The sequence below is a fragment of the Homo sapiens genome, chromosome 6 (genome assembly GCF_000001405.40).
Source record: "Homo sapiens chromosome 6, GRCh38.p14 Primary Assembly".
Classification (NCBI taxonomy): Eukaryota; Metazoa; Chordata; class Mammalia; order Primates; family Hominidae; genus Homo; species Homo sapiens.
Window position 1 is genome coordinate 70586191 of NC_000006.12, and position 26206 is coordinate 70612396.

Sequence of the window (26206 nt, forward strand, 5' to 3'; positions counted from 1 at the left end):
TATAACTGACTTCTCTAGGGATTGAATGTAAGAGAGACCTAAGTAACCATGGGGTTTGGATAAAGCAAATCTGGGTTTGAACTGGAGCTCTCAGAGGCTTCTACTCTCTGGGTTTCAGTTTCCTCCTAACACCTGCCTTAGAATGCGCTTATGAGAAGAAACTGAGATGATAGGGCACTTTGCACTTTCCCTTTCAAGCCTTGCCAGAGTTTGTTATTCTTGTATGTATTTGTTTGCCTTTTTTTTTTTTTTTTTTTTTTTGGCCTACTTCAGTACTCTGTGAGCCCTGTGAGGGAAGGGGCCTTCTATTGCATGGTCACTACTGTGTCCCTCACCCCACCTTTACATAGCATAGGGCCTGGCAGAGTAATAGTGGAATAAATGAATGAAACTGTCTGCCCACAGGATGGCCATGAGGATGAGAATAAATCTCTTCATTCATTCATATGATACGTATTAAGTATCCTCTGTGAGCCAAACACTGAAACAGCAATGGATAAAACACACAAAAAAATTATACCATAATGAAGCTTAACATTTTAGTGGGAGAGACAGACAATAATCCAAGTAAATTTTAAAAATATACTAAATTACTGATAATTGCTGAAGATAATGTAAATGTGGGAAGGAATGGGAAGTATTGGGAGAGTGGCCACAATAAATAAATAGATACAGTTTAAGAATTAGGGGCCAGGCGGCCGGGCACAGTGGCTCACGCCTGTAACCCCAGCACTTTGGGAGGCTGAGGCGGGTGGATCACCTGAGGTCAGGAGTTCAAGACCAGCCTGGTCAACAAAGTAAAACCCCCATCTCTACTAAAAATACAAAAAATTAGCTGGGCATGGTGGTGCACACCTGTAATCCCAGCTACTCGAGAGGCTGAGGCAGGAGAATCACTTGAACCCTGGAGGCGGAGGTTGCAGTGAGCCGAGATCATGCCATTGCACTCCAGCCTGGGCAATAAGAGTGAAACTCCATCACACACACACACACACACACACACACACAAGAATTAGGGGTCAGGTGCAGTGGCTCACGCCTGTAATCCCAGCACTTTGGGAGGCCAAGGTGGGTGGATCATTTGGGGTCAGGAGTTTGAGACCAGCCTGGCCAACATAGTGAAACCCCATCTCTACTAAAAGTACAATTATTAGCCAGGCACATAGTGGTGTGCGCCTGTAGTCCCAGCTACTTGGGAGGCTGAGGCAGGAGAATTGCTTGAACCCAGGAGGCTGAGGCTGCAGTGAGCTGAGATCACGCCACTCCACTACTCCAGCAGGGCAACAGAGCTAGGCTCCATCTTAAAAAACAAAACAAAACAAAGAATTAGCGCTCTGTCTAATAGTTGGTTCCTCTCCTGTTTTTTCCATATACAGAGCAGTGCAGTGTATGGGCTGAGAACAAGACTGCAGCCAGGATGTCTGAATTTGAACTCAGTTTTATCACTTAGAAGCTATGTGATACGGAGCAACTTTCTTAACCCTTTGTGGCTCATTTTCTTCATCTATAAAGTTGGAACAATAATTGTTCTTGTCCCATAGGATTGTTAGGAAGAGTAAATGGATTAGCATACATAAAGTGCTGAGAATTGAGCCTGGCTTGTGATGGGGATTCCTACTATGAACACATAGTACTAAGAATAATAATTACTATTATGATTATAAATGGCAGTACCAGCCAACCAGTTGCTGAAGCCAAAACCCTATGATGAGGAACAGTAATTCTCTAGCTAAGATTAATTGACATTCCTATGTACCTGGCACCACGCTAAACCCTTTACATGTATTACCTTGTTTAATTAACAACACAGTGAGAGAAGTATGATTGTTCTCTCCATTTTACTGGTCAGAAAACTGTGGCATTAAGTCAAAGTGACTCCTTCAAAGTAATCTTATTTCAAGACCTTTCAAGTCTTATGAATTTGTACTCTGTATTCTCTTCTCAAACTCAGGAAAAAGAATCACATTTACAGTTCTTTTAAAGACTGCATGGTAACCAGGTTGGTAAGATCTAGCCTATCAGCAACGCTGTCTTTAAAATTGACCATAGGCTGGTCTCGGCGGCTCACGCCTGTAATCCCAGCACTTTGGGAGGCCGAGGCAGGCAGAACACTTGAGGTCAGGAGTTTGAGCCATCCTGGCCAACATGGTGAAACCCCTTCTCTACTAAAAATACAAAAATTAGTTGGGCGTGGTGGCATGTGCGTGTAATCCCAGCTACTCAGGAGGCTGAGGCAGGAAAATCACTTGAACCCAGAAGGCAGAGGTTGCAGTGAGCCCAGATCACGCCACTGCAATCCAGCCTGGGCAACAGAGGGAGACTCTGTCTCAAAAAATAATAAATAAATAAATTAATTGAATTAAATTGACTATAAGGCCTTTCCTGCCTCCATTAACTGCTTTATTTATATCTCGTTTTCCTTAGAATTTCCAGATGATGTTAATCCAGTGACCAAAGAAAAAGGTGGACCCAGGGGCCCAGAACCTACCCGATATGGAGATTGGGAACGAAAAGGACGCTGTATTGATTTTTAAGTCGCATATTCTTTAACTTCAATATTGTTTTCTGAATATGTACATCTGAATTAACTTATTTCTGATTATTTTCTTTCTTTATATCCTTTATGTCGTGTAGTTTGTATAATGTGTTTAAATATATATATATATGATGGCTTTGGAAGAAAATATGCTGCTGTAAATTAGGAAAGGGAGACCAGCCTGACCAATATGGAGAAATCTCGCCTTTACTAAAAATACAAAATTAGCCAGGCGTGGTGGCATGCACCTGTAATCCCAACTACTCTGGAGGCTGAGGCAGGAGAATGGCTTAAACCCAGGAGGTGGAGGTTGCGGTGAGCTGAGGTCGCGCCATTGCACTCCAGCCTGGGCAACAAGAGCGAAACTCCGTCTCAAAAAAAAAGATAGGAAAGGGAAAATATTTTTTCATTAACATATATTAATTTAATGAGTATAGAAATGATTCTTGTTTTTTTGAGACAGAGTCTCTCTCTCTCACCCAGGCTGGAGTGGAGTGGCACTATCCCAACTCACTGCAACTTCCGCCCCGCCAGGTTCAAGCAATTCTCCTGCCTCAGCCTCCTGAGTAGCTGGGATTACAGACACCCACCATTGCGCCTGGCTAATTTTTGTATTTTTAGTAAAGACAAGGTTTCACCATGTTAGCCAGGCTGGTCTCGAACTCCTGACCTCAGTTGATCCACCTGCCTCAGCCTCCCAAAGTGCTGGGATTGCAGGTGTGAGCCACCACGCCCAGCCTAGAAATGATTCTTAGAGCTGTAGGCCTTTACTTCATCATTTTTCAGTTTAAATTAATCAGTTGCTTATAAAATGCATACATAAATAAAATAATTTTTAAAAAATGATTGTGTTGCTGCGTGCTAGGGGATAGTGGCTTTTAACATGTGAGTTAAATAATACATTATAGTTTGAGAAGGCCACAATAATAACAGAAAATCTTTAACTTGGAGCCAGTGACTTAATTAATTACCCAATCACTTGGGTTCAAATTCTGACTCTACTTCTTACTACCTATGTGACCTTGGATAACTTATTTAACTTCTCTGTGCTTCAATATCCTTATGTGTAAGTTGGAGATAATAATACTTTTGATACTGGTGGGCTGCAGGAGGTCCCCAAACACTGGTGGGACCTTAATTCCAGCTGATGTCCAGGCTCTTGATACCATCATGAGAAGAAATTCAAAGACAAGTCAGAAAATAGGGAAAGTACTGAGATTTATTGCAAAGTAAAAAGTACATATTCGATGCCTGTAATCCCAGCACTTTGAGAGACCAAGGCGGGTCAATCACTTGAGGTCAGGAGTTCGAGACCAGCCTGGCCAACATGGCAAAACCCCGTCTCTACTAAAAATACAAAAACTAGCTGGGCGTGGTGGTGCAGGCCTGTAATCCCAGCTACTTGGGAGGCTGAGGCAGGAGAATCACTTGAACCGGGGAGGCAGAGGTTGTAGTGAGCCAAGATTGTGCCACTGCACTCCAGCCTGGGTGACAGAGCAAGACCCTGTCTCAAAAAAAAAAATAAAAAGCAAAGAAAAGAAAAGCACACATTCAAGAAAGGGGAGTGTGGGCATACTCAAGAGAGAGTGACTCAGTGGAGTTTAGGGCTTCTACCTTTATGGGTTTCTATAACCAAGAGGTGGAATATTCATGAAGATTCCTGGAAAAAGGTGAAGATTTCTTGGAATTGTGGTGCCACCAACTTTTACACCAAATACAGGTGTTCCCAGAATAGTCATGGCACTGTCTGTGTGTGCTTTAGTATGTTAATGAGCATATAATGAGGTCCTAGGTGAAACCTAGGTCATATCCAGTGCCATGCTGGGTCCAGTCAGTCTTAGCCAACTTGACTCACACCCTGGTTTTTCAGGATCTTATCAGCCCCTAGGTTATGCAGCCATTTCAACAATTTCCTTTTTGCTAATCATGTAAAACTGCTGCCTGGAATTTTCTGCTCTTCTGTGATCACCCTATATTATTCCTGTCTCACTTTCACTTCACAGGGAAGTTGAGAAGATTAAATGAATAAATAACATGTATTAGTCAGGGCTCTTCAATAGGAGAGAGAGAGATTATGTGGAATTGGTTCATGCAGTTCTAGAGGCTGAGAAGTCCCATGATAATGCCATCTGCAAGCTGAACACCTGAAGACCCAAAAAAGCCAGTGGTGTGAATCAGTCTGAGTCCAAAGGCCTGAGAAGCAGGGGAATTATGATATAAATCCAGTCTGAGGGCAAAGAAGATGAGAAGAGATGTCCTAGCTCAAGCAGTGAGGCAAGAAAAAAGGAGTGAATTCTTCCCTCTACCTTTTGTCCTATTCAGGCCTTCAGTGTATTAGATAATGCCCGAATACATTGGGAAGGACAGTCTACTGAGTTCACCAGTTCCAATGCTAATCTCATTCAGAAACACCCCTACAGACACATCCAGAAACAATGTTTAAACTGGTACCCTGTGGCCTACTCAAGTTGACACATAAAATTAGCCAACACAACATGTTAGCCACTTAGAGCAGTGTGTAGTATAGTACATACTTCTCAGTAAGTGTTAACTCTCTTTAAATTATGAATGTATTTTTCCAAGTCTCTAGGCGTTGTGAGAGGAAAGATTTTTTTTTTTTTTTTTTTTTTTTTTTTTGCTCTGTCCCCAGGCTGGACTACAGTGGCACAATCTCCACTCACTGCAACCTCTGACTCCCTGGTTCAAGCGATTCTCCTGCCTCACCCTCCCGAGTAGCTGGGACTACAGGCACTCGCCACCACGCCCAGCTAATTTTTGTATTTTTGTAGAGACGGGGTTTCATCGTGTTAGCCAGGATAGTCTCGATCTCCTGATCTCGTGATCTGCCCGCCTCAGCCTCCCAAAGTGCTGGGCCAGGTGTGAGCCACCGCGCCCGGCCAGTGGGAGGAAAGATTTTTAAAAATGAAATTTGAAATACTTGAAATTGTTTTATATGAGTACAACATTTAAAATGTCATTAGTTGAAAATAGTGATTATTTACATGAGTGAACTGAAGTATATACATTAGTTTGTGGAACATAAAATTCACAGAGGTGCTATGGTTGGAAAATTTGTCGCCTCCAAAACTTATGTTGAAACTTAATCCCCAATGTCTCAGTAGTGAGAGGTGGGACCTTTAAGAGGTGATTGGCCTTTACGAGGGCAGAGCCCTCATGAAGATTAATTCATTTATGGGTTAATGGACAAATGGGTTATCATGGAAGTGGAGCTGGTGCTTTATGAGAAGAGGAAGAGAGACTTAAGCTGGCATGTTAGCATCTGAGCCCACTCAGCCAACTTGCCATGTGATGCCCTGCGCTGCCTCAGGACTCTGCAGAGAGCTTTCACTAGCTTCAAGGCCCTGGCCAGATGTGCCCCTTGACCTTGGACTTTCTAGCCTCCAAAACCATAAGAAATAAACGTCTTTTCTTTCAAAATTACCCAGTATCAGGTATTTAGTTATAGCAACTTGGGCTAAGAAAACTGGCACTGGGAGTGAGGTGTTGGTATAAAGTTACCTGAAAATGTGGAAGCCGCATGGGAACTGGATAATGGGCAAAGATTGGAAGAGTTTGGAGGAGCAGGGTGGAAAAAGCCTAGATTCTGATTAGGGATTAGAAGACAAGAAGACTAGGGAAAGTTTAGAACTTCCTAGAGATTACTTAAGTGGTCGTGACCAGAATGCTGATAGAAATATGGACAGTAAAGGCCATTCTGATGAGGTTTCAGATGGAACTGAAGATCAAAGTGTTGGAAACTGGAGTAAAAGCCTTTCTTAGAAAGTGGCAAAGAATTTGGCTGGATTGTGTCCAGGCCCAAGGCTGGGTGTTTTATAGCAACACCCTACTCCCAGCTACCAATTCCAAGGAATGCTGAACTTAAGAATGATGAATTAGAATATTTGACGGAAGAAATATCTAAGCAGCAAAGCATTTAGGCTATTGCATGGCTACTTTTAACCACTTACATTGAACTGCAAAAAGGAATAAGTTACTTAAAGACAGAAATCATAATCAAAAGGGAAGCAAAGCAGAAAGATTTGGGAAATTCTAAGCCTAGACATGTGGTAGAGAATGAAAGAGTTTTTTCAGCAGAGGAAACCAAGCGTATGACCAAGGCACTGTTTGCTAAAGAGATTAATATGGCTAGAAAGGAGCCAGAGATTCATCAGGACAATGGGAGAAAGATCCCAAAGGCATTTCAGAAATCTTTGAAGCTGCCCCTCCCATCACAGGCCCAGAGGCCTAAAATGGCAGAATGGTTTAAAGGGACAGGCCCAGGGCACTCTCTAAGGGCTTGCTGCCCCGGGCTGCCTTGGACCTCTACTCCTGGGCATTCTGGCTGCTCAAGCAGCTCTAGCTCAGGTGGTCCCCAGTGTGGCTCGACCTGCCACTCCAAAAGGTCCAAGTTGTAAATCTTGGCAGCACTGTCCAGTGATGCAAGTGGTCTCAGATGCTGCTCATGCCCCCACTCCAGAGGGCACAAGCAGTGAGCCTTGGCGACCTGCACATGCTGCTTATTCTGCAGGCACACAGCAAGAGCTGTGAGGCATAGCAGCTTCCACCTAGATTTCAAAGGATGTATCAGACAGCTTGTGGGCCCACGCAGAGACTTACTGCAAGGGCACAACCACTGCAGAGAACCCCTCTGCTAGGGCAATGCTGAGTGGAAATGTGGGACCAGAGCTGCTGCAGAAAGTTCCCAACAGAGCAGTGCACTCTGGAGCCGCAGGGGCAGGACCACCCTGGGACCTCAGAACTGTAGAGCTACCAGTATGCAACACCAGCCTGGAAAAGCTGCAGGCACCTGACTCCAACCTGTGAGAGTAGCCATGTGGACTACAGCAAGCAAAGCCATAGGCATGAGATTGCCCAATGTTTTGGAGACCCACTCCCTACCTCAGTGTTCACAGGATGCCAGCATGGAGTCAAAAGAGATTATTTTCCAGCTTCAAGGGTTTTTTTTTGTGTGTGTGTGTGATGGAGTCTCATTCTTCATTCTGTCACTCTGGCTGGAATGCAGTGGCATGATCCTGGCTCACTGCAACCTCTGCTCCTGGGTTCAAGTGATTCTCCTGCCTCAGCCTCCTGAGTAGCTGGAATTACAGGCACCTTCCACCGTGCCTGGCTAATTTTTTTTGTATTTTTAATAGAGACAGGGTTTCACCATGTTGGCCAGGCTGGTCTTGAACTCCTGACCTCAAGGGATCCTCCCACCTCAGCCTCCCAAAGTGCTGGAATTACAGGTGTGAGACACTGCGCCTGGCTGAGCTTCAAGATTTAATGTCTTCCCTGCTGGGTTTCTGACTTGTTAGGGGCCGATTACTCCATTTTGCTCTCCTATTTTTCCCTTTTGGAATGGAAATGTGTATCCTATGCCTGTCCTACCGTTGTATCTTGGAAGTAGATAAATTGTTTTCGCAGGATCACAGATAAGACTTTGGACTTTTGAGTTGTTGCTGGAATAAGTTAAGACCTTGGGGCTATGAAGATAGAATAAATGTATTTGTATGTGATAAGGACATTAGTTTTGGAAGGCCAGTGCCAGTGCCAGAATGCTATAGTTTGAATGTTTGTCTCCTCCAAAACTCGTGTTAAACTTTATCCCCATTGTAACAGTATTAATGAGATGGGAAATCCAACTATGCTATTTGACAGGTAGGATCTCTGGGAGGTAATTAGGATGTAATGAGGTCATAAGGGTGAGGCATTAGTGGCTTTATAAGAGTAGAAACACCTGAGCTAGCACATTTGGCCACCTCACCTTTTCATACCCTGTGATGCCTCAGGACTCTATAGAGAGTCTAGTCTCCACCAGCGAGACCCCATGAACTTGGCCCACATGTCATCCTTGAACTTGGACTTCCCAGCCTCCAGAACCATAAGAAATAAATACCATTTTTCAGCCGGGTGCAATGGCTCACGCCCATAATCCCAGCACTTTGGGAGGCCAAGGCGGGTATATCACCTGAGGCCAGAAGTTCAAGACCAGCCTGAACAACATGGTGGAACCCCATCTCTATGAAAAATACAAAATTAGCCAGATGTGGTGGTGCACACCTGTAATCCCAGCTACTCGGGAGGCTGAAGCAGGAGAATCACTTGAACCCGGGAGGCGGAGGTTGCAGTGAGCCTAGATCACACCATTGCACTCCAGCCTGGGTGAAAAGAGTGAAACTCCATCTCAGAAAAAAAAAAAAAATCATTTTTTAATAAATTACCTAGTTTCAGCTATTCTTTTATAAGCAACAGAAAATGGACTAAGACAGTAGGTATAGAGGGTAAATATGAGAAAAACAGGATAAAATGGACTAGCTCAGTCAGTTTTGATGACTCAAAACCTCGTACCCTGTGGCATTTTGATAAGTGGGTCAGGAAAAGTCAAGTCCAGTGTACAGATCTGGAATAATGGAAGGACAGGAACTGCTGGGCTCCCCTAAGGTATCCTTTGCTGCATCTCCTCTGGCCTCACTCACTCTCAGAGGTTGGGCCTTCAGCTCCCAGGCTACTCTTGAATTACTTAGGAAGAAAGGTTTTGCAAAACCTATAGAAGACAGAATCCAGTAGGCTGATAACTGTGTGATATGAATTACAAGTGCAATATTACTTGAGAAGATTGTACGGAGACTCATTTAAGAGAATAAGAATTATTATCCCAGAAACAAATTAACTAGTGTGTAATTAGGACTAGTCATTTGGTCCTTATATCAGTTTTCTCTCTCAGTCAACATTCATTCTTCTAGTTGCAATTACTATGTGTGCTACAAAGTAATAACTACATTTCTTTAGAAATATTCTATAATTCAGTCAACCTCCAACTGCCCAAGTTAGTAAAGTTTTTTACTAAGTTAACATTCAAAAAATAGTATGTTAGGCTGGACTTGGTGGCTCATGCCTGTAATCCCAGCACTTTGGGAGGCTGAGGCAGGTGGATCACCTGAGGTCAGGAGTTTGAGACAAATAGCTGGGCGCGGTGGCGCACGCCCGTAATCCCACATACTCGGGAGGCTGATGCAGGAGAATCGCTTGAACCCGGGAGGCGGAGGTTGCAGTGAGCTGAGATCACGCCACTGCACTCCAACCTGGGCGACAGAACAAGACTCTATCTCAAAAAAAAAAAAAAAAAGAAAAGAAAAAAAGAAAAATAGTATGTTAAATTTTCGTTGTATAGTTTTGCTTGTGTTCTACACTAACTATCATGATGTGCAATAGAAAAAAGACAACTTATATACTTCAAAAGCTAATCTAAAATATATAACAACCAAAGTGTTGTATTAAGATAACTCTTAACCTCTGTTAGTAGTAACATGTTTCATTACAGTATCAAATATATAGGTAAAATTTGGTGACATGAAAACACTTGTGGTCTGTATGTCTATCAAACATTCATGAAAAATTTGAAGACTATCAATTTGGTACCTACAAAAGATGATGCGGTAGCCATGGAAATGCATCACCCAGATCTCCTCCTGTGAGAAGCAGAGTTGACAGAACCCTAGCTGCTACCCCATGGGATCTACCACTGTATTCCTGCTGTTCCCAGCCAATGAGTGAGAATGGCAGGACTATTAACACTGACCCAGTCCCCTGATGGGCAACATTGGCTCAAGGATTTCCCATTAGATTGCCCAGAATTTTCTTAGAAACATGCTACTGTCTGAGATTCTTCCTACCCCATTCTCCTTTCCTTCACTCTCTCCTTCACAGGTGTCAAACCCTACCTACTCCCCTCCTTCATAATTCACAGATATCTCCTCTAATAAATCTCTTTCAGACTTAATGCCATCTTGCCATCTGTTTTGTAGAGAACCTAGATTAACATGGATAACTTTTTAAAAACAACCTACAGTTTTTCAGAAAATGTCATACAATGCTTGTTATTTTTTTAGTGTAATCATAGTTTAAACACTTTTATATCGCTTGAGGGATTTCTGGGAATTTGTATGTTGATCTTTTATGTACAAGGCTCATGCCATGGAGTGTTGTACATAATGAGTGTTTGGTTAGATTGAATTATGTCTACTAGGTCCCAGTTGCTGAGATCTACAATGTGTCAAAATATATATATTACCTATTATTAAACTTGTAAGAGCAAGCATAAAGCCACATTCTGCTAGTAAATAACAAATGTTCATTGGATAGTTTGCAGTGAGAAAACTTTGTCATAGCAATTGTTAATGATAGTATATTAGTAATTTGATAATTTCAGAACAGGACAGTAATTTTTCTAAATAAAAGATAAGAATGGCAGTGAGATATTAATGAGTGCTGATTGATCAATTAGAAGGGAAAGTAAAATGAAGAGTGCCTAATGAGTTCATTCATTCACTGAATTGATTCATTTATTTAATCAGTGGTGATTGCCTACTACGTGCTGGATATTCTGCGAGGCTCTGTTTTGGTGTTTTTTGTTTGTTTGTTTTTTGAGAGTGAGCCTCGCTCTGTCACCCAGGCTGAAGTGCAGTAGTGTGATCTCGGCTCACTGCAACCTCTGCCTCTGGTTTCAAAAGATTCTCCTGCCTCAGCCTCCCAAATAGTTGAGATTACAGGCACCTGCCACCACGCCTGGCTAATTTTTTTTTTTTTTTTTTTTTGTATTTTTAGTAGAGACAGGGTTTCACCATGTTGGCCAGGCTGGTCTCAAATGTCTGACCTCCAGTGATCTGCCTGCTTCAGCCTCCCAAAATGCTGGGATTACAGGCATGAGGCACCGCATCAGGCCACTGCTAGGCTCTTTCTATTTGGTGATTAATGAAACAGATCCCCTGCCATCTTAGCATAAAGTCTGATGTGTTTTGATGTGTGCATGCAAACAGTTCCAGAAGACAACTGACTGAAGACTTTATAAAGGATGGCAGGTGACTATACTTCACGCCAAACAAACCAAAGGGAACTTCCTAAGTTTAATGAGACTATCACTTTCTGAACTTTTGGTACTAGATGACTCTTCAGAGACCTGGATTTTCAGCTTTTAAAATCTAAACAGGCTCTGTGGGATATTTATTAATTAAATATTCATTTTATAATCAAATGTGTTCTGACTTTGCCATATATAAGCCTCCATGGACATTGATCAAGAAGATATGGAGTGAGCAGAGTGATAAAACTAAGATTCCTGGTTATATAAAAATTTTTAAGCCCTTCCTGGTCCAAGAAGAGCATTTTTGGTGGCCACAACCTCTGGAACTAAGCTGCTGTCAACTTCCCGAAGACTGGTTGCTATAAATGAATTACAAAAGATTATCGAACTAACAATGAATATGAGGGCATGTGTGAAATTAAGAAATATTTATGATTAACAAGTATTCAATATTAATTCATTGTCCTGTGGGCACTTTGTTCTGTCTTCTTTAAGATCTTTCATTTGCAGGCCGGATGTCGTGGCTCATAACTGTAATCCCAGCATTTTGGAAGGCCGAGGTGGGTGGATCCCTTGAAGTCAGGAGTTTGAGACCAGCCTGGCTAATATGGTGAAACCCTGTTCTACTAAAACTACAAAAAAAGTAGCCAGGCATGCTGGCGGGCACCTGTAACCCCAACTACTTGGGAGGCCGAAGCAGGAGAATTGCTTGAACCCAGGAGGCAGAGGTTGCAGTGAGCTGAGGTGGAGCCACTGCACTCCAGCGTGGGCAACACAGTGAGACTCTGTCTGAAAAAAATAAAAATAAAGGAAAAATAAAATATCTTTTATTTGTAGAAACAGATACCTCTCCACGATACTCCTATTGACCATTGGTTCTAAAGTAACATATATTGCTTTCTGCTTCTCCCTCTCCCCCTTCTTCTCTTTATGGAGGAAATATCTATTGTCTCTAAAGCAACTTCTGTCTTATAATCAGCCAAGTCTAGGTGGCAAATTAAAGAAAAATGTAGCTGTTTCTATGCAAGGTTTTTAGATGAAGACGACATAATCTATTGTGGTGGTGATTAAACTTTTTGGTTTTGGGACCCTTTACTCTTAGAAGCTTTTGAAGTCCCTAAATTGTTTAGGACCCCAAAGAACATTGTTTTATGTACGATATCTATCCACACTTACTGTATTAGGAATTAAAGCTAAGTAATATTTAACATACTTAACTCATTAAAAATAAGCCGGTAGCAAACCTATTACATGTTAACATAAAATGAAATGTTTTGAATCATGACTTCTCCAAAACAAAAAAAAAGAAATTGCAAAGAGTGGCATTGTTTTATTCTCTTCAAGGTCTAACTTAATAGAAGGCAGCTGTGTTCTCATAGCGTCTTCTGCATTCGATCTGCTGTGGTATTTTGACTGAGGTATGATGAAGAAAAGCTGGCTTCACATAGTTATGTACTTGGAAAAGGGAAGATCTCACAGATCCACTGGAAGAGTTTGGTAGAGCTGAGGGTCCTCCAACCACATTTCCAAGAACTGCTGAGCTGATTTAAGTAGGAATGGTGATACTAAATAAGAATCTTTGGAACAGCTAGCAGAACCACACCCCACTACAGCACTGGCTGGAGAAGAAGGTAGCTGTTGCCTATAATGTGAGCTAGTTTTACCTCTATAGGCAGGAACCTATATAGTGTGTGGTTGTGTGTGCAACCACCACCACAGGGGCCCCAGAACTCCTGTGTCCCAGTGACATCCTTTTCACCACGTTTAACCCATTTCTGAATGACTGTCTTGTGCGGATATATCACACTGATAAATCCGTGTGATGAACACTGAAGTCACATGCTTGCACTCCAGTGGAGGCCGGGAGGTGTGGTTTTACTGAACTCTGTGGGTAAGGCAGACTTCACACAGAGGAAGTGTCAGATATAGAGATGGTGTTCAAAAGATTTTAGACAGATACAAATGTTGCTTGTCCACTACTATCATCTAGTTGAGAATCAGTTTCATTGGGGCATACAATATAGATGTGTAAAATATATAAAATGTGTTGCAAAAATGTAAAAATAAGATTTAAATAATCCCAGGCCGGGTGCGGTGGCTCATGCCTGTAATCCCAGCACTTTGGGAGGCTGAGGCGGGCGGATCATGAAGTCAGAAGTTCGAGACCAGCCTGATCAACATGGTGAAACCCCATCTCTACTAAAAATACAAAAATTAGCCAGGCATAGTGGCGTGTGCCTGTAATCCCAGCTACTCAGGAGGTTGAAGCAGGAGAATCCTTAAACCCAGGAGGTGGTGGTTGCAGTGAGCCGAAATCGCCCCACTGCACTTTAGCCTGGGTGACAGAGCTAGACTCCGTCTCAAAAAAAAAAAAAAAAAAAAAAAGATTTAAATAATCCCTAAAGCATCTTCAATATCCACTCCTCTTCCTTTGAAGAATACCTCCATAGAGATTAGGATTTGAGCCTATAATTTATTAGTGCCTTACATAGCATTGGTTAATGAATATGAAGGTTACTCAATAACTTATGAACATTACTTAAAATTCTGTAACATCCTATATTATTTTGGAATAAGGTTTATATATATTTAGGCCGTGTATTTCTAACTAAGTTTTACCAAATAGAATCTTGTCTGATGCCTAGAAGCCACAAATACTCCTAATTAGCTCTTGCTTGTAAAAAGGAATCGTGGACAGATTGAGAATGGAGTTTGTTATTGATGCAGGTGTGACAAGGGATGAAAAACAAAAGAGCTTTTAGAAGCAGCTTATAATATTGGAAGTTGAAAACATGCACAAGGAAGAAACTAGGAATGTGTTTTTGCAGGACTTGTCTTTTCATAGCTCCTTTGGAAAAATCTGGATTTATAAACTGAGATGTTATAGACTGTGGCCTGTAACCATTATCTTAAAACATTGTATTTTCCTTAGCACAAGAGGTCACTGTATTCAAACTGGCATCTGAAACTTTAATGGGATATAAAATTTGGATTCTTTGTCAGAAGACTTTCATATTTTGTCTCATCCTGAAGTCAGTGACTCGGCTAGATTCCTTATTTTTAAAAGTGCTTACATGAGATTTTGTTTTGATAGTTATCCCTCATTTTAATTCTGCTGCTCAGAAATGTCAGGATTTCTGAGTAGATTGTCTCATATCAAACCTGAGCCCTTGATTATATGAGTCACAGCCTTCTATCATCCTCCATACCTACATACTAAATGTTTCACCTAGGCAAAACAATCCAAATATTTTTATTGCCCAGTTTTATATAGACTAATGCTGACTAGAATGCCCCCTTTCTTTCTCTACCAACACATAGCTCTTCTCTCCTCTTTCAGTCCTTTCTGGAATAAGGATAGGTATAAATTAGATACATAAAGTGCCTTTCTCTACTTTAAAAAAGAAAAAAAAGTATGACTCGTGTCATACATTTAATGCTGTTCCAGCTAATTAATCCTGGCTGTGATGGTTAATTTTAGGTATCAACTTGACTGAGTTAAGGATTGCCCAGACAGTGGGTAAAACATTACTTCTGGCTGTGTCTATGAGGGTGTTTCCTGAAGCAATTAGCATTTGAATCACTAGGCTGAGTTAAGAAGATTGCCCTCACTGTTGTGGGCATGTATCATCCAACTGTCGAGGGCCTGGAAAGAACAAAAAGGGAGAAAAAGAATGAATTTGCTGCCTCTTCTGGAGCTGGGACATCCATCTTCTCCTGCCCTCAGACATCAGAGCTCTAGGTCCTCAGGCCTCTAGACTCTGGGACTTGCGCCAGTGGCCTCCCCGCTTTTCAGGCCTTCAAACTCAGAAAGAATTACATCACCAGTTTCTCCAGTTCTCCAGCTTACAAATGGCATATGTGGTACTTCTTGGCTTCTATAATCTTGTGAGCCAATTCCTATAACAAAGCATCTCTTATAGATTCTATATATCCTATTGGTTCTGTTTCTCTGGAGCACCGTAATACAATGACCATGTCTGGTCATCCTGTCACTGCAGCAACCCTTTATCCCTTATGTAGATGTCATGGCTGGCATGCAGAACACTTCCCTTCTACACATCTGGCTTTGTTCTCCATTCTAACCTTTTGGGGAGCATTTTCATTCTGAAGGGGTTAGAATGCCACAAATTACATTTCTAGTGAGTTATGCATGCAAATTAAGTTCTGCCAATTAGATGCACTTATTGTGATTTGAAAGGGAATGTGAGGGAAGGCTACCTTCCCACTGCTGGTTTTTCTCGCTGGCTGATACAGTTGTGGAGACCGTGAATTTGTCTGCAGCAGCACTCCACTCTGTAGTTACTAGTCTTGTGAGGACCGTCATTTCCTTGATTAGGCTACATTACATGGCAAAGGTGATGGGATAGTCACTCCAGGGATCGTATTACCTTTTATAAGACTCTGCTGTAGCCTACTGGAGGCAGATTCTCCTGCTGGCTTTGAAGAGGTAAACTGCCATCTTGTGAAAGCACCATTGGCTGAGACCTGAGGGTGGCCTGTAGGAGCTGAAAATGATCTGTAGCTGACAGCCAACAAGAAAACAAGGACCTCATTCCTACCCCCTTAAGACTGTGAATTCTGCCAGCCAACTAAATGAGGTTCAACACAGAGGACTCCAAACCTCAGGTGAGGTCCCAGCCCTGCCCAACACTTTGATTTCAGCCTAGTGAGACCCTGAGCAGAAGACCCTACTAACTGATTCCCAGTCTTCTGACCTGTGGAAAAGAAACTGTGAACTAATAAATGTGTGCTGTGCTAAGCCACTACGTTTGTGGTAATTTCTTAGACAACAATAGAAAAGTGTTACAGTATTCAAATTGCTATTACTGGGACATTGACCTCCAGAGCAATGACTGGGCAGGCTTTAAGACCTTGTCCTCCCCTTTCTTGTAATTTGGGTAACTGGATCCTTATTTTGATTATTTATACACAAAATCCCTCTAAGATTTGCTCTCCTAAACTCTTGCCATTGTCTCTCTCAAGAGAAATGAAGCCCTACTACCTACAGACATTCTTCCATATGCCAACTTCCTGTTGATCAACAATAGTTTAAATAGTTACTGCTCTTGGATTCCTTCTTGCCATGTCTGCCTACATAAAATACACTGCTCTTGTTACTTTACAGTGGATCTCCTTTCCCTATGAGCTATGAGCCCCATATGTGAGAGTTAACACCTATTACTTACTGCAATAACTTATATGTATATAATTTATGTATATAATATAATATAATATAATATGTAATATACATGTGTACTATGTTAGGCCTGCTAGACTGAACTTCCTTCAGCTGTATACAGCCTGATCCTTGCTCACCACCCAGAAGGTGGTTGTGTTTCCTTCTCAAACAACCCCCTCTCATAATAGTTTATGTAGCTCAGCATTCTGGAATTGGGCTCAGGATACTAGAACTAGGCCAATTAGGCCTTTTAAGTGATACAGAATAATTAATCCTATTCAAAGTCATTCAAAAAACACCTATAATGCCTTTTTTTTTTTATTTTTTTTGAGACAAGGTCTTGCTCTGTCACCCAGGCAGGAGTCCAATGGCACGATCTCGGCTCACTGTAACCTCCACCTCCTGGGTTCAAGTGATTCTCCTGCCTCAGCCTTCTGAGAAGCTGGGATTACAGGCGCCCGCCACCGTGCCCAGCTAATTTTTGTATTTTTTAGTAGAGATGGGGTTTCACCATGTTGGCCAGGCTGGCCTTGAACTCCTGACCTCAGGTGATCCACCCGCCTCAGCCTCCCAAAGTGCTGGGATTACAGGAGTGAGCCACCGCACCTGGCCTGCTATTTGTTTTAATTTAGAAAATATGAGAAGAATCTTTAAAACTTCAAGTTGCTATAAAATGTGTTGTATTAAATTCTTTTAGTTATTAGATAAAATGCACCATTTTTCAAAATACTAAAAGATTTGGACTCTCCTAAGATTTCTAATATCAATATAAGAAAGCTAGTAAAAAGTTCCACCTTGAAGTGCAGAGGGCAAGTGATGATTGACAAAGGTGGGAGGTGTTTGAGGAAGACGAGGCTGGGAGAGGTCAAGCTAATTGATATGGTTTGGATTTGTGTCCCTGCCCAAATCTAATGTTGAATTGTAATCCCCAATGTTGGAAGAGAGGCTTGGTAGGAGGTAATTGGATCATACGGGTAGACTTCCCCCTTGCTGTTCTTGTGATAGTGAGTGAGTTCTCATGGGACCTGGTTGTTTAAAAGTGTGTAGCAGGGGAGAAGGATCATCATGGTACATGGGAGGCAAGACTAGTTTGCAGCTCTGGACACAGCAGCGTGCGGAGGCTCACATTGTGAATTTAAGCTCCAGATCAACTGCAAGAACAAACCAGCAATCCTGAAAGGACCCACAGACCTCTGAAGGAAGCGGGCTGCTCCTGCAGGACCCAGGAGACACCCCAAATATATTCTGTGAGTGCCCTAACGGTGGAGGTGGGAAAGGGAGACCCTTGTCTCCAGAACACACAATCCCACTGGAGAAGCTGAAGGTCTGTTTGTGGGAGACGTTTCTGACCTTGCCTGGAGCTGAGTCAATTTAGAGAGCCAAGTGAAATACAGGGGTAGAGGAAGCAGCAGAAAGGTCCTGGGAGCTTGCTGGGTCTCCAGGCAGCCCATTCCCACCTGGCACCACAGGGATCCATCGAAGAGTGGCCAGAGGAGCAAGGGGTAAAACTCCACTGGGAGAAGGAAAGCTCTAGCTGAACTTTGTAACAATTTGAGCGGGGTGAGAAGCCTCTTGGCCAGAACTTGGGGCAAGGCGCAAATCTGGTATGCAGACTCCACAGGTGGGGAAGAACCAAGCTCTTTTCTTTCACAGCTGGGAGGTGGGTAGCCTGGGGCAAGTTTTCATGCCCATCTCGGCCACCACCACCTGGTAACAGATTCAGGGCTGTTGGGTGGGGCACGGTGGGAGTGAGACCGACTCTTCAATTTGCGTGGGAGCTGGGTGAGGCCTATAACTGCTGGGTGAGGCCTATAACTGCTGGCTTTCCCCCATGTCCCTGACAACCTGCATGACTCAGCACAGGCAGCCATAATCCTCCTAGGCACACAACTTCAGTGACCTGGGAATCTCACCCCCATCCCTAACAGCAGCAAGACCCACCCAAGGAGAGTCTGAGCTCAGACACGCCTACCCCTGCCCCCACCTGATGGTTCTTCCCTACACACACTGGTGGCTGAAGACAAAGGGCTTATACTCTTGGGAGTTCTAGGGCCTTACCCACCACCAGTACCTCTCCATACTACCACAGCTGATGCTTTCTGGAAAGTGCCACCTCCTGGCAGGAGGTCAAACAGCACAAAAATAGAGCATTAAACCACCAAAGTAGCTGGGTGCGTGGCTCATGCCTGTAATCTCAGCACTTTGGGAGACCAAGATGGGTGGATCACCTGAGGTCAGGAGTTCGAGACCAGCCTGGCCAACATGGCAAAACCCCATCTCTACTAAAACTACAAAAATTAGCCAGATGTGGCAGTGGGCACCTATAATCCCAGCTACTCAGGAGGCTGAGGCAGGGACAATCGCTTGAACCCGAGAGGCAGAGGTTGCAGTGAGCTGGGATCGCACCACTGCCTCCACCTTGGGTCTCAAAAAAAAAAAAAAAAAAAAAAACCAAAGCTAACCCTCATGGAGCCCATTGCACCCCCCTGCCACCTCCACCAGAACAGGCACTGGTATCCATGGCTGAGAGACCCATAGACGGTTCACATCACAGGACTGTGTGCAGGCAACCCCCAGTACCAGCCTGGAGCTGGGTAGACTCACTGGATGGCTAGACCCAGAAGAGAGACAACAATCACTGCAGGTCAGCTCACAGGAAGCCACATCCCTTGGAAAAGGGGGAGAGTACTGCATCAAGGGAACACCCCATGGGACAAAAGAATATGAACAGCCTTCAGCCCTAGACCTTCCCTCTGACAGAGCCTACCCAAATGAGAAGGAACCAGAAAACCAAGTCTGGTAATATGACAAAACAAGGCTCTTTAACACCCCCAGAAAATCACATTAGTTCACCAGCAATGGATTCAAACCAAGAGAAATACCCGATTTACCTGAAAAAGAATTCAGGAGGTTAGTTATTAAGCTAATCAGGGAGGCACCAGAGAAAGGTGAAGTGCAATGCAAGGTAATCCAAAAAACGATACAAGAAGTGAAGGGAGAAATATTCAAGGAAATAGATAGCTTAAAGAAAAAGCAATAAAAAATTCAGGAAACTTTGGACACAATTTTAGAAATGCAAAATGCTCTGGAAAGTCTCAGCAATAGAATTGAAGAAATAGAAGAAAAATTCACAGCTCAAAGACAAGGTATTCAAATTAACCCAATCCATCAAAGACAAAGAAAAAAGAAAAAGAAAATATGAACAAATTCTCCAAGAATTCTGGGATTATGTTAAACAACCAAACCTAAGAATAATTGGTGTTCCTGAGGAAGGAGAGAATTCCAAAAGCTTGGAAAACATATTTGGGGGAATAATCAAGGAAAACTTCCCCGGCCTTGCTAGAGACCCAGACATCCAAATACAAGAAGCACAAAGAACCCCTGGGAAATTCATCACAAAAAGATCATCATTGCCTAGGCACATTGTCATCAGGTTATTCAAAGTTAAGATGAAGGAAATAATCTTAAGAGCTGTGAGACAGAAGCACCAGGTAACCTACAAAGGAAAACCTATCAGATTAACAGCAGATTTCTCAGCAGAAATCCTATAAGCTAGAAAGGATTAGGGCCCTATCTTCAGCCTCCTCAAGCAAAACAATTATCAGCAAAGAATTTTGTATCCAGCAAAACTAAGCATCACATGTAAAGGAAAGATACAGTCTTTTTCAGACAAACAAATGCTGAGAGAATTCACCATTACCAAACCACCACTACAAGAACTGCTAAAAGGAACTCTTAAATTTTGAAACAAATCCTGGAAACACATCAAAATGGAACCTGTGTAAAGCATAAATCACATAGAACCTATAAAACAAAAATACAAGTTAAAAAGCAAAAACAAAAAACAAAAAAAAACAAAGTACACAGGAAACAAACAGCACGATGAATGCAATGGTACCTCACATTTCAATTCTAACATTGAAGGTAAATGGCCTAAATGCTCCACTTAAAAGATACAGAACTGCAGAATGGATAAGAACTCACCAACCATCTGCTGCCTTCAAGAGACTCACCTAACACATAAGGACTCACATAAACTTAAAGTAAAGGGGTGGAAAAAGGCATTGCATGCAAATGGACACAAAAAGCAAGCAGGGGTAGCTATTCTTATACCAGACAAACAAACTTTAAAGCAACAGCAGTTAAAAGAGACAAAGAAGGACATCATATAATGGTAAAAGGCCTTGTCCAGCAGGAAAATATCACAATCCTAAACATATATACACCTAACACTGGAGCTCCCAAATTCATAAAAAAATTACTAATAGCAACACAATAATAGTGGGGAAATTCAATACTCCAATGACAGCACTAAACAGATCATCAGGACAGGAAGTCAACAAAGAAACAATGGATTTAAACTATACCTTGAAACAAATGGACTTAACAGATATATATAGAACATTCCATCCAACAACTGCAGAATACACATTCTATTCAACAGCACATGGAACTTTCTCCAAGATAGACCATGTGATAGGCTATAAAACAAGCCTAAATAAATTTAAGAAAATTCAAATTATATCAAGCACTCTCTCAGATCACAGTGGAATAAAACTGGAGATCCAAAGGAGCCTTCAAAACCATGCAAATACATGGAAATTAAATAACTTGCTCTTGAATGAGCATTGGGTCAAAAACGAAATCAAATGGAAATTAAAAAATTCTTCAAACTGAATGACAATAATGACACAACATACCAAAACCTCTCGGACACAGAAAAGGCAGTGCTAAGAGGAAAGTTCATACCCTAAACACCTATATCAAAAAGACTGAAAGAGCACACACTGACATTCTAAGGTCACACTTCAAGGACCTACAGAAACAAGAACAAACCAAACCCAACCCCAGCAGAAGAAAGGAAATAACCAAGATCAGAACAGAACTAAATGAAATTGAAACAAAAAAAATACAAAAGATAAATGAAACAAAAAGCAGGTTCTTTGAAAAGATAAATAAGATTGATAGACCATTAGCAAGATTTTTTTGGTCTCTTTTGTAATTTTAATTGAAGTAATCCTATTTTTTTAACTTTCTCTTATAAGCACCAAATTTTAATATCTAAGTCAATTTTTGGGAAAAGAAACACCATCAAGATCTTCCCTCCAGCAAAACAATGATGTTCACTCCTCCAAATATCCAAATTGAAGGTCTACCAAAACAAAAACAAAAGCCCACAGAGAAATAAAAAGGAATAAAAATCACATTCTAATGGGGGGATCAGTGCATTTAGCAGTCTTCGCTGTGCTGTCTAACCATCCTTCATCTGACTTTCAAAAAAATAACACCCTAAGCTCATCAAAATATACATTTTCCATTTGCTTTTTTAAATTAAAAATAATTATTAAAAAAAGGAAAACTTTAAGGAATTCACAATCAATTGCCTGACTCATTTCGATGTCATGTACAGCATATGGAGGTCAGGAAGGCTATTTGCAGCACATGTGATTAGGGGCTATTGATCGTCAGGGTTTAGCTTTCTTCCAAACAGTGTAAAATACCCACGATTCCAAGTATGAAGGGACACAGAGAATCTCCTTTGAAAATTCCACAGGACAATACAGGCGCCCCAGCTGTTCTTCACAGAGCGACAGTGCTTTGGTCAGACTGACACAGTTCCCCTGTGTAAAATATTTCCCATCCTGTTTCAACACTTTCATTGAGAGTTCAAGAATCAGTCTGAGAAACTCCCATGTGGAATCTTCTTCTGGAGAAGTGGAGATTGGAACAGCTGTCAAATCATTAATCGCATAATCAAATTATCTCCCTTCTTTGGCGTACCTCTTGAGTACCGGAATACAGTCTTCTATTAGAACCTGATAGCAGTCTCCTTTAAGATTGTCTAAGACATCGCCATACGTTTTTTGCATGTATTTCTTACACCCATCAATCACCATTTCGTCAATCTCTACCATAGTGACCATCTTTGGTTTTAGTTTGACTATTTCACACAATATGCCTCCATCTCCACCTCCCAGAATGAGTACATCTTTGCCAGTGTAATCTTCTTCGCCACTGCCCATGATGGCCCGGGTATATGCCAAATCACTCTCTGCCAAATTAACATCCCCACTAACGATGAGAATATTTCCAAACTGCTTCGAGTGTAGAATTTTTATATTTTGATAAGATTAATCTTCGTCATATACCACTTCATCTATGTCATATTCAACCAGGCGCCCATCGGCGGTGAGCCAGTATCTGTCAATGGCTCCTCCTCGCACTATGGGTGGTAATCGTTTCACCCGCCCAGTACTGTCCTGACTCAATTCTTTCATTCTTTCTTCTACTTTGTTCAAAATACTGTCGATCTCTTCTTTGCCTTGCACATCACCATCATAACTCTGAAGGTCCAGCAACACCAATCCATGTGGGTAAATTCTCAAATTGGCAAAGCTGCCGTTCTTTTTTGTGTAGGTTGCTAAATAGCCATGGTCCTGCCAGGTGTGCACCGACTCTGCCATCCCCTGCTCCTGGAAAATGGACTGGAGGCCTTTTAGAACAGTCTCACCATCAGCTTTGGCGCCGAGCGTGAAGTCGAGCATGCTGTGCCGTGCTGCTGCCATAGTGAGGCGAGGCCCTGTGCCATGCCTGGGGGAGGGGCGGCAGGAGACTGGGGGGCCGCGTGGCGTGTCAGGCTGCGGCCAGTGGGGAGTGCCGACCATTAGCAAGATTAACCAAGAAAAGAAGAAAGAAAATCCAAATAACCTCACTAAGAAATGAAACAGGAGATATTACAACTGACACCACTGAAATACAAAAGATCATTCAAGGCTACTATGAGTAACTTTATACACATAAATAGAAAACCTAGAAAAGGTGGATAAATTCCTGGAAAAATACAACCCTCCTAGCTTAAATCAGGAAGAATTAGATACCCTAAACAGACCAATAACAAGTGGCAAGTTTGAAATAGGAATTAAAAAGTTACCAACAAAAGAAAGTCCAGGACCAGACAGATTGACATCAGAATTCTACCAGACATTCAAAGAAGAATTAATACCAATCCTTTTGACACTATTCCACAAGAAAGAGAAAGAAGGAACCCTCCCTAATTTGTCCTATGAAGCCAGCATCACCTAATACCAAAACCAGGGAAGGACATAACCAAAAAAGAAAACTACAGACCAATATTGCTGATGAACATAGATGCTAAAACCCTTAACAAAATACTAGCTAACTGAATCCAACAACATATCGAAAAGATAATCCACCATGATCAAGTGAGTTGCATACCAGGGATGCAGGAATGGTTTAACATACACAAGTCAATAAATGTGATACACCACTCAAACAGAATTAAAAACAAAAATCACATGATCATCTCAATAGATGCAGAAAAACCATTCGATAAAATCCAGCATCGCTTTATGATTAAAACTTCAGCAAAATCGGAATACAAGGGGCATACTTTAATGTAATAAAAGCCATCTATGACAAACCCACAGCCACCATCATAATGAATGGGAAAAGTTGAAAGCATTCTGTCTAAGATCTGGAAGAAGACAAGGATGCCCACTCTCACCAAGCCCCTTCGACATAGTACTGGAAGTCCTAGCCAGAGCAACCAGACAAGAGAAAGAAATAAAGGGCATCCAAATTGGCAAAGAGGAAGTCAAACTGTCACTGCTGACAATATGATCATTTACCTTGAAAACTCTAAAGACTCCTCTGGAGAGCTCCTAGAACTGATAAAAGAATTCAGCAAAATTTCTGGATACAGAATTAATGTACACAAATCAATAGCTCTTCTATACATCAACAGCGACCAAGCAGAGAATCAAATCAAGAACTCAACAACTTTCACAATAGCTGCAAAAATAAAAAAATAAATAAAATACTTAGGAATATACCTTACCAAGGAGTTGAAAGACCTCTACAAGGAAAACTACAAAACACTGCTGAAAGAAATCATAGGTGACACAAACAGACGGAAACACATCCCATGCTCATGGATGAGCAGAATCAATATTGTGAAAATGACCATACTGCTCAAAGCAATCTACAAATTCAACGCAACCCCAATCAAAATACTGCCATCATTCTTCACAGAATTAGAAAAAACAATTCTAAAATTTATGTGGAACCAAAAAAGAGCCCACACAGCCAAAGCAAGACTAAGCAAAAATAACACATCTGGAGGCATCACACTACCTGATTTCTTTCTTTCTTTCTTTCTTTCTTTCTTTCTTTCTTTCTTTCTTTCTTTCTTTCTTTCTTTCTTTCTTTCTTTCTTTCTTTCTTTCTGTCTCTCTCTCTCTCTCTTTCTTTCTTTCTTTATTTTTTGAGACGGTGTCTCACTCTCTGTTGCCCAGCCTGGAGTGCAGTGGTGCAGTCTCAGCTCGGTGCAACCTCTGCCTCCCAGGTTCAAGCGATTCTCCTGCCTCAGCCTCCTGAGTGCCTGGGATTACAGGCACCTGCCACAATGCCTGGCTATTTTTTTTTTTTTTTTTTGTATTTTTAGAGAGATGGGGTTTCACCATGTTGGCCAGGCTGGTCTCGAACTCCTGACCTCATGATCCACCCGCCTTGGCCTCCCAAAGTGCTGGGATTACAGGCATGAGCCACTGCACCTGGCCCTGATTTCAAACTATACTATAAGGCCATAGTTACCAAAACAGCATGGTACTGGAATAAAAATAGGCACATAGACCAATGGAACAGCATAAAGAACCCAGAAATAAACCTAAATACTTACAGCCAACTGATCTTTGACAAATCAAACAAAAACATAAAGTGAGGAAAGGGCACCCTATTCAACAAATGATGCTGGGATAACTGGCTAGCCACATGTAGGAGAATGAAACTGAATCCTCATCTCTCACCTTATACAAAAATCAACTCAAGATGGATTAAGGACTTAAACCTAAGACCTAAAACTATAAAAACTCTAGAAGATAACATTGGAAAAACCCTTCTAGACATTGGCTTGGGCAAGGATTTCATGACCGAGAACCCAAAAGCAAATGCAATAAAAACAAAGATAAATAGCTGGGACCTAATTAAACTAAAGAGTCTTTGCACGGCAAAAGAAACAGTCAGTATAGTAAACAGACAACCCACAGAGTGGGAGAAAATCTTCACAATCTATAAATCTGACAAAGGACTAATATCCAGAATCTACAACAAACTCAAGCAAATCGGTAAGAAAAAAACAATCCTACCAAAAAGTGGGCTAACGACATGAATAGACAATTCTCAAAAGAAGATATACAAATGGCCAACAAACATGAAAAAAATGCTCAACATCACTAACTTTTCACAATTAATAGAACACTCCAAATTATTTGTATTCAGTTTTTATTGAGAAAATCTGAAAAGAATTGACTAGAAATGCGAATCAATCTATGAGTACAGCCAGTGCCAAAATTTAAAATAATTAAAATGTAAAAGGCAAAAATAGTTTCAGAAAAGAATAAGACTGACATTTTCAGATGTTCTGCCAAAGCAAAGCTGCCTCTTCTGTCGTGTAGCAGCCTGACAGGCATGATCACCGATGGGCAAATGAGGGGCCGTTGATTCCCTACAAATCCAGCCCCCTACCCACCTCCACACCACCCCCTCTGCAGTCGGTCAAGGGAACCAAGCCACCACTCCAGAGTCAGGTCACTGGAAAGATGCTTAGGCG

The 26206-nt window shown here is 41.8% G+C and overlaps 1 protein-coding gene and 1 pseudogene across 2 annotated transcripts in view, besides 3 other annotated features; one reads left to right on the plus strand and one right to left on the minus strand.

Annotated features, from left to right (window-relative positions):
- Nucleotides 1–12238, plus strand: part of SDHAF4 (succinate dehydrogenase complex assembly factor 4) — a 31499-nt gene extending 19261 nt beyond the window's left edge. Inside the window, exon 3 of one of the 2 annotated variants that reach the window (XM_047418210.1) lies at nucleotides 11892–12238. In XM_047418210.1, the coding sequence (XP_047274166.1) occupies nucleotides 11892–12010 (119 nt within the window). In that variant the 3' untranslated portion in view covers nucleotides 12011–12238. Of the gene's footprint in view, nucleotides 1–2424; nucleotides 3380–11891 lie in introns of those variants that run through there. The other variant, NM_145267.3, reaches the window with a different exon arrangement.
- Nucleotides 14701–15265: an enhancer, noted in NCBI's record as "OCT4-NANOG hESC enhancer chr6:71310594-71311158 (GRCh37/hg19 assembly coordinates)". NCBI's record gives its function as "activates a minimal SCP1, AML or CMV promoter by ChIP-STARR-seq in naive H9 embryonic stem cells {active_cell/tissue: H9 hESC(naive)}" and the evidence as "EXISTENCE:reporter gene assay evidence [ECO:0000049][PMID:30033119]".
- Nucleotides 21568–23235, minus strand: LOC642590 (spermine synthase pseudogene; annotated as a pseudogene).
- Nucleotides 22642–23159: an enhancer, noted in NCBI's record as "H3K4me1 hESC enhancer chr6:71318535-71319052 (GRCh37/hg19 assembly coordinates)". NCBI's record gives its function as "activates a minimal SCP1, AML or CMV promoter by ChIP-STARR-seq in naive H9 embryonic stem cells {active_cell/tissue: H9 hESC(naive)}" and the evidence as "EXISTENCE:reporter gene assay evidence [ECO:0000049][PMID:30033119]".
- Nucleotides 23160–23676: an enhancer, noted in NCBI's record as "H3K4me1 hESC enhancer chr6:71319053-71319569 (GRCh37/hg19 assembly coordinates)". NCBI's record gives its function as "activates a minimal SCP1, AML or CMV promoter by ChIP-STARR-seq in naive and primed H9 embryonic stem cells {active_cell/tissue: H9 hESC(naive and primed)}" and the evidence as "EXISTENCE:reporter gene assay evidence [ECO:0000049][PMID:30033119]".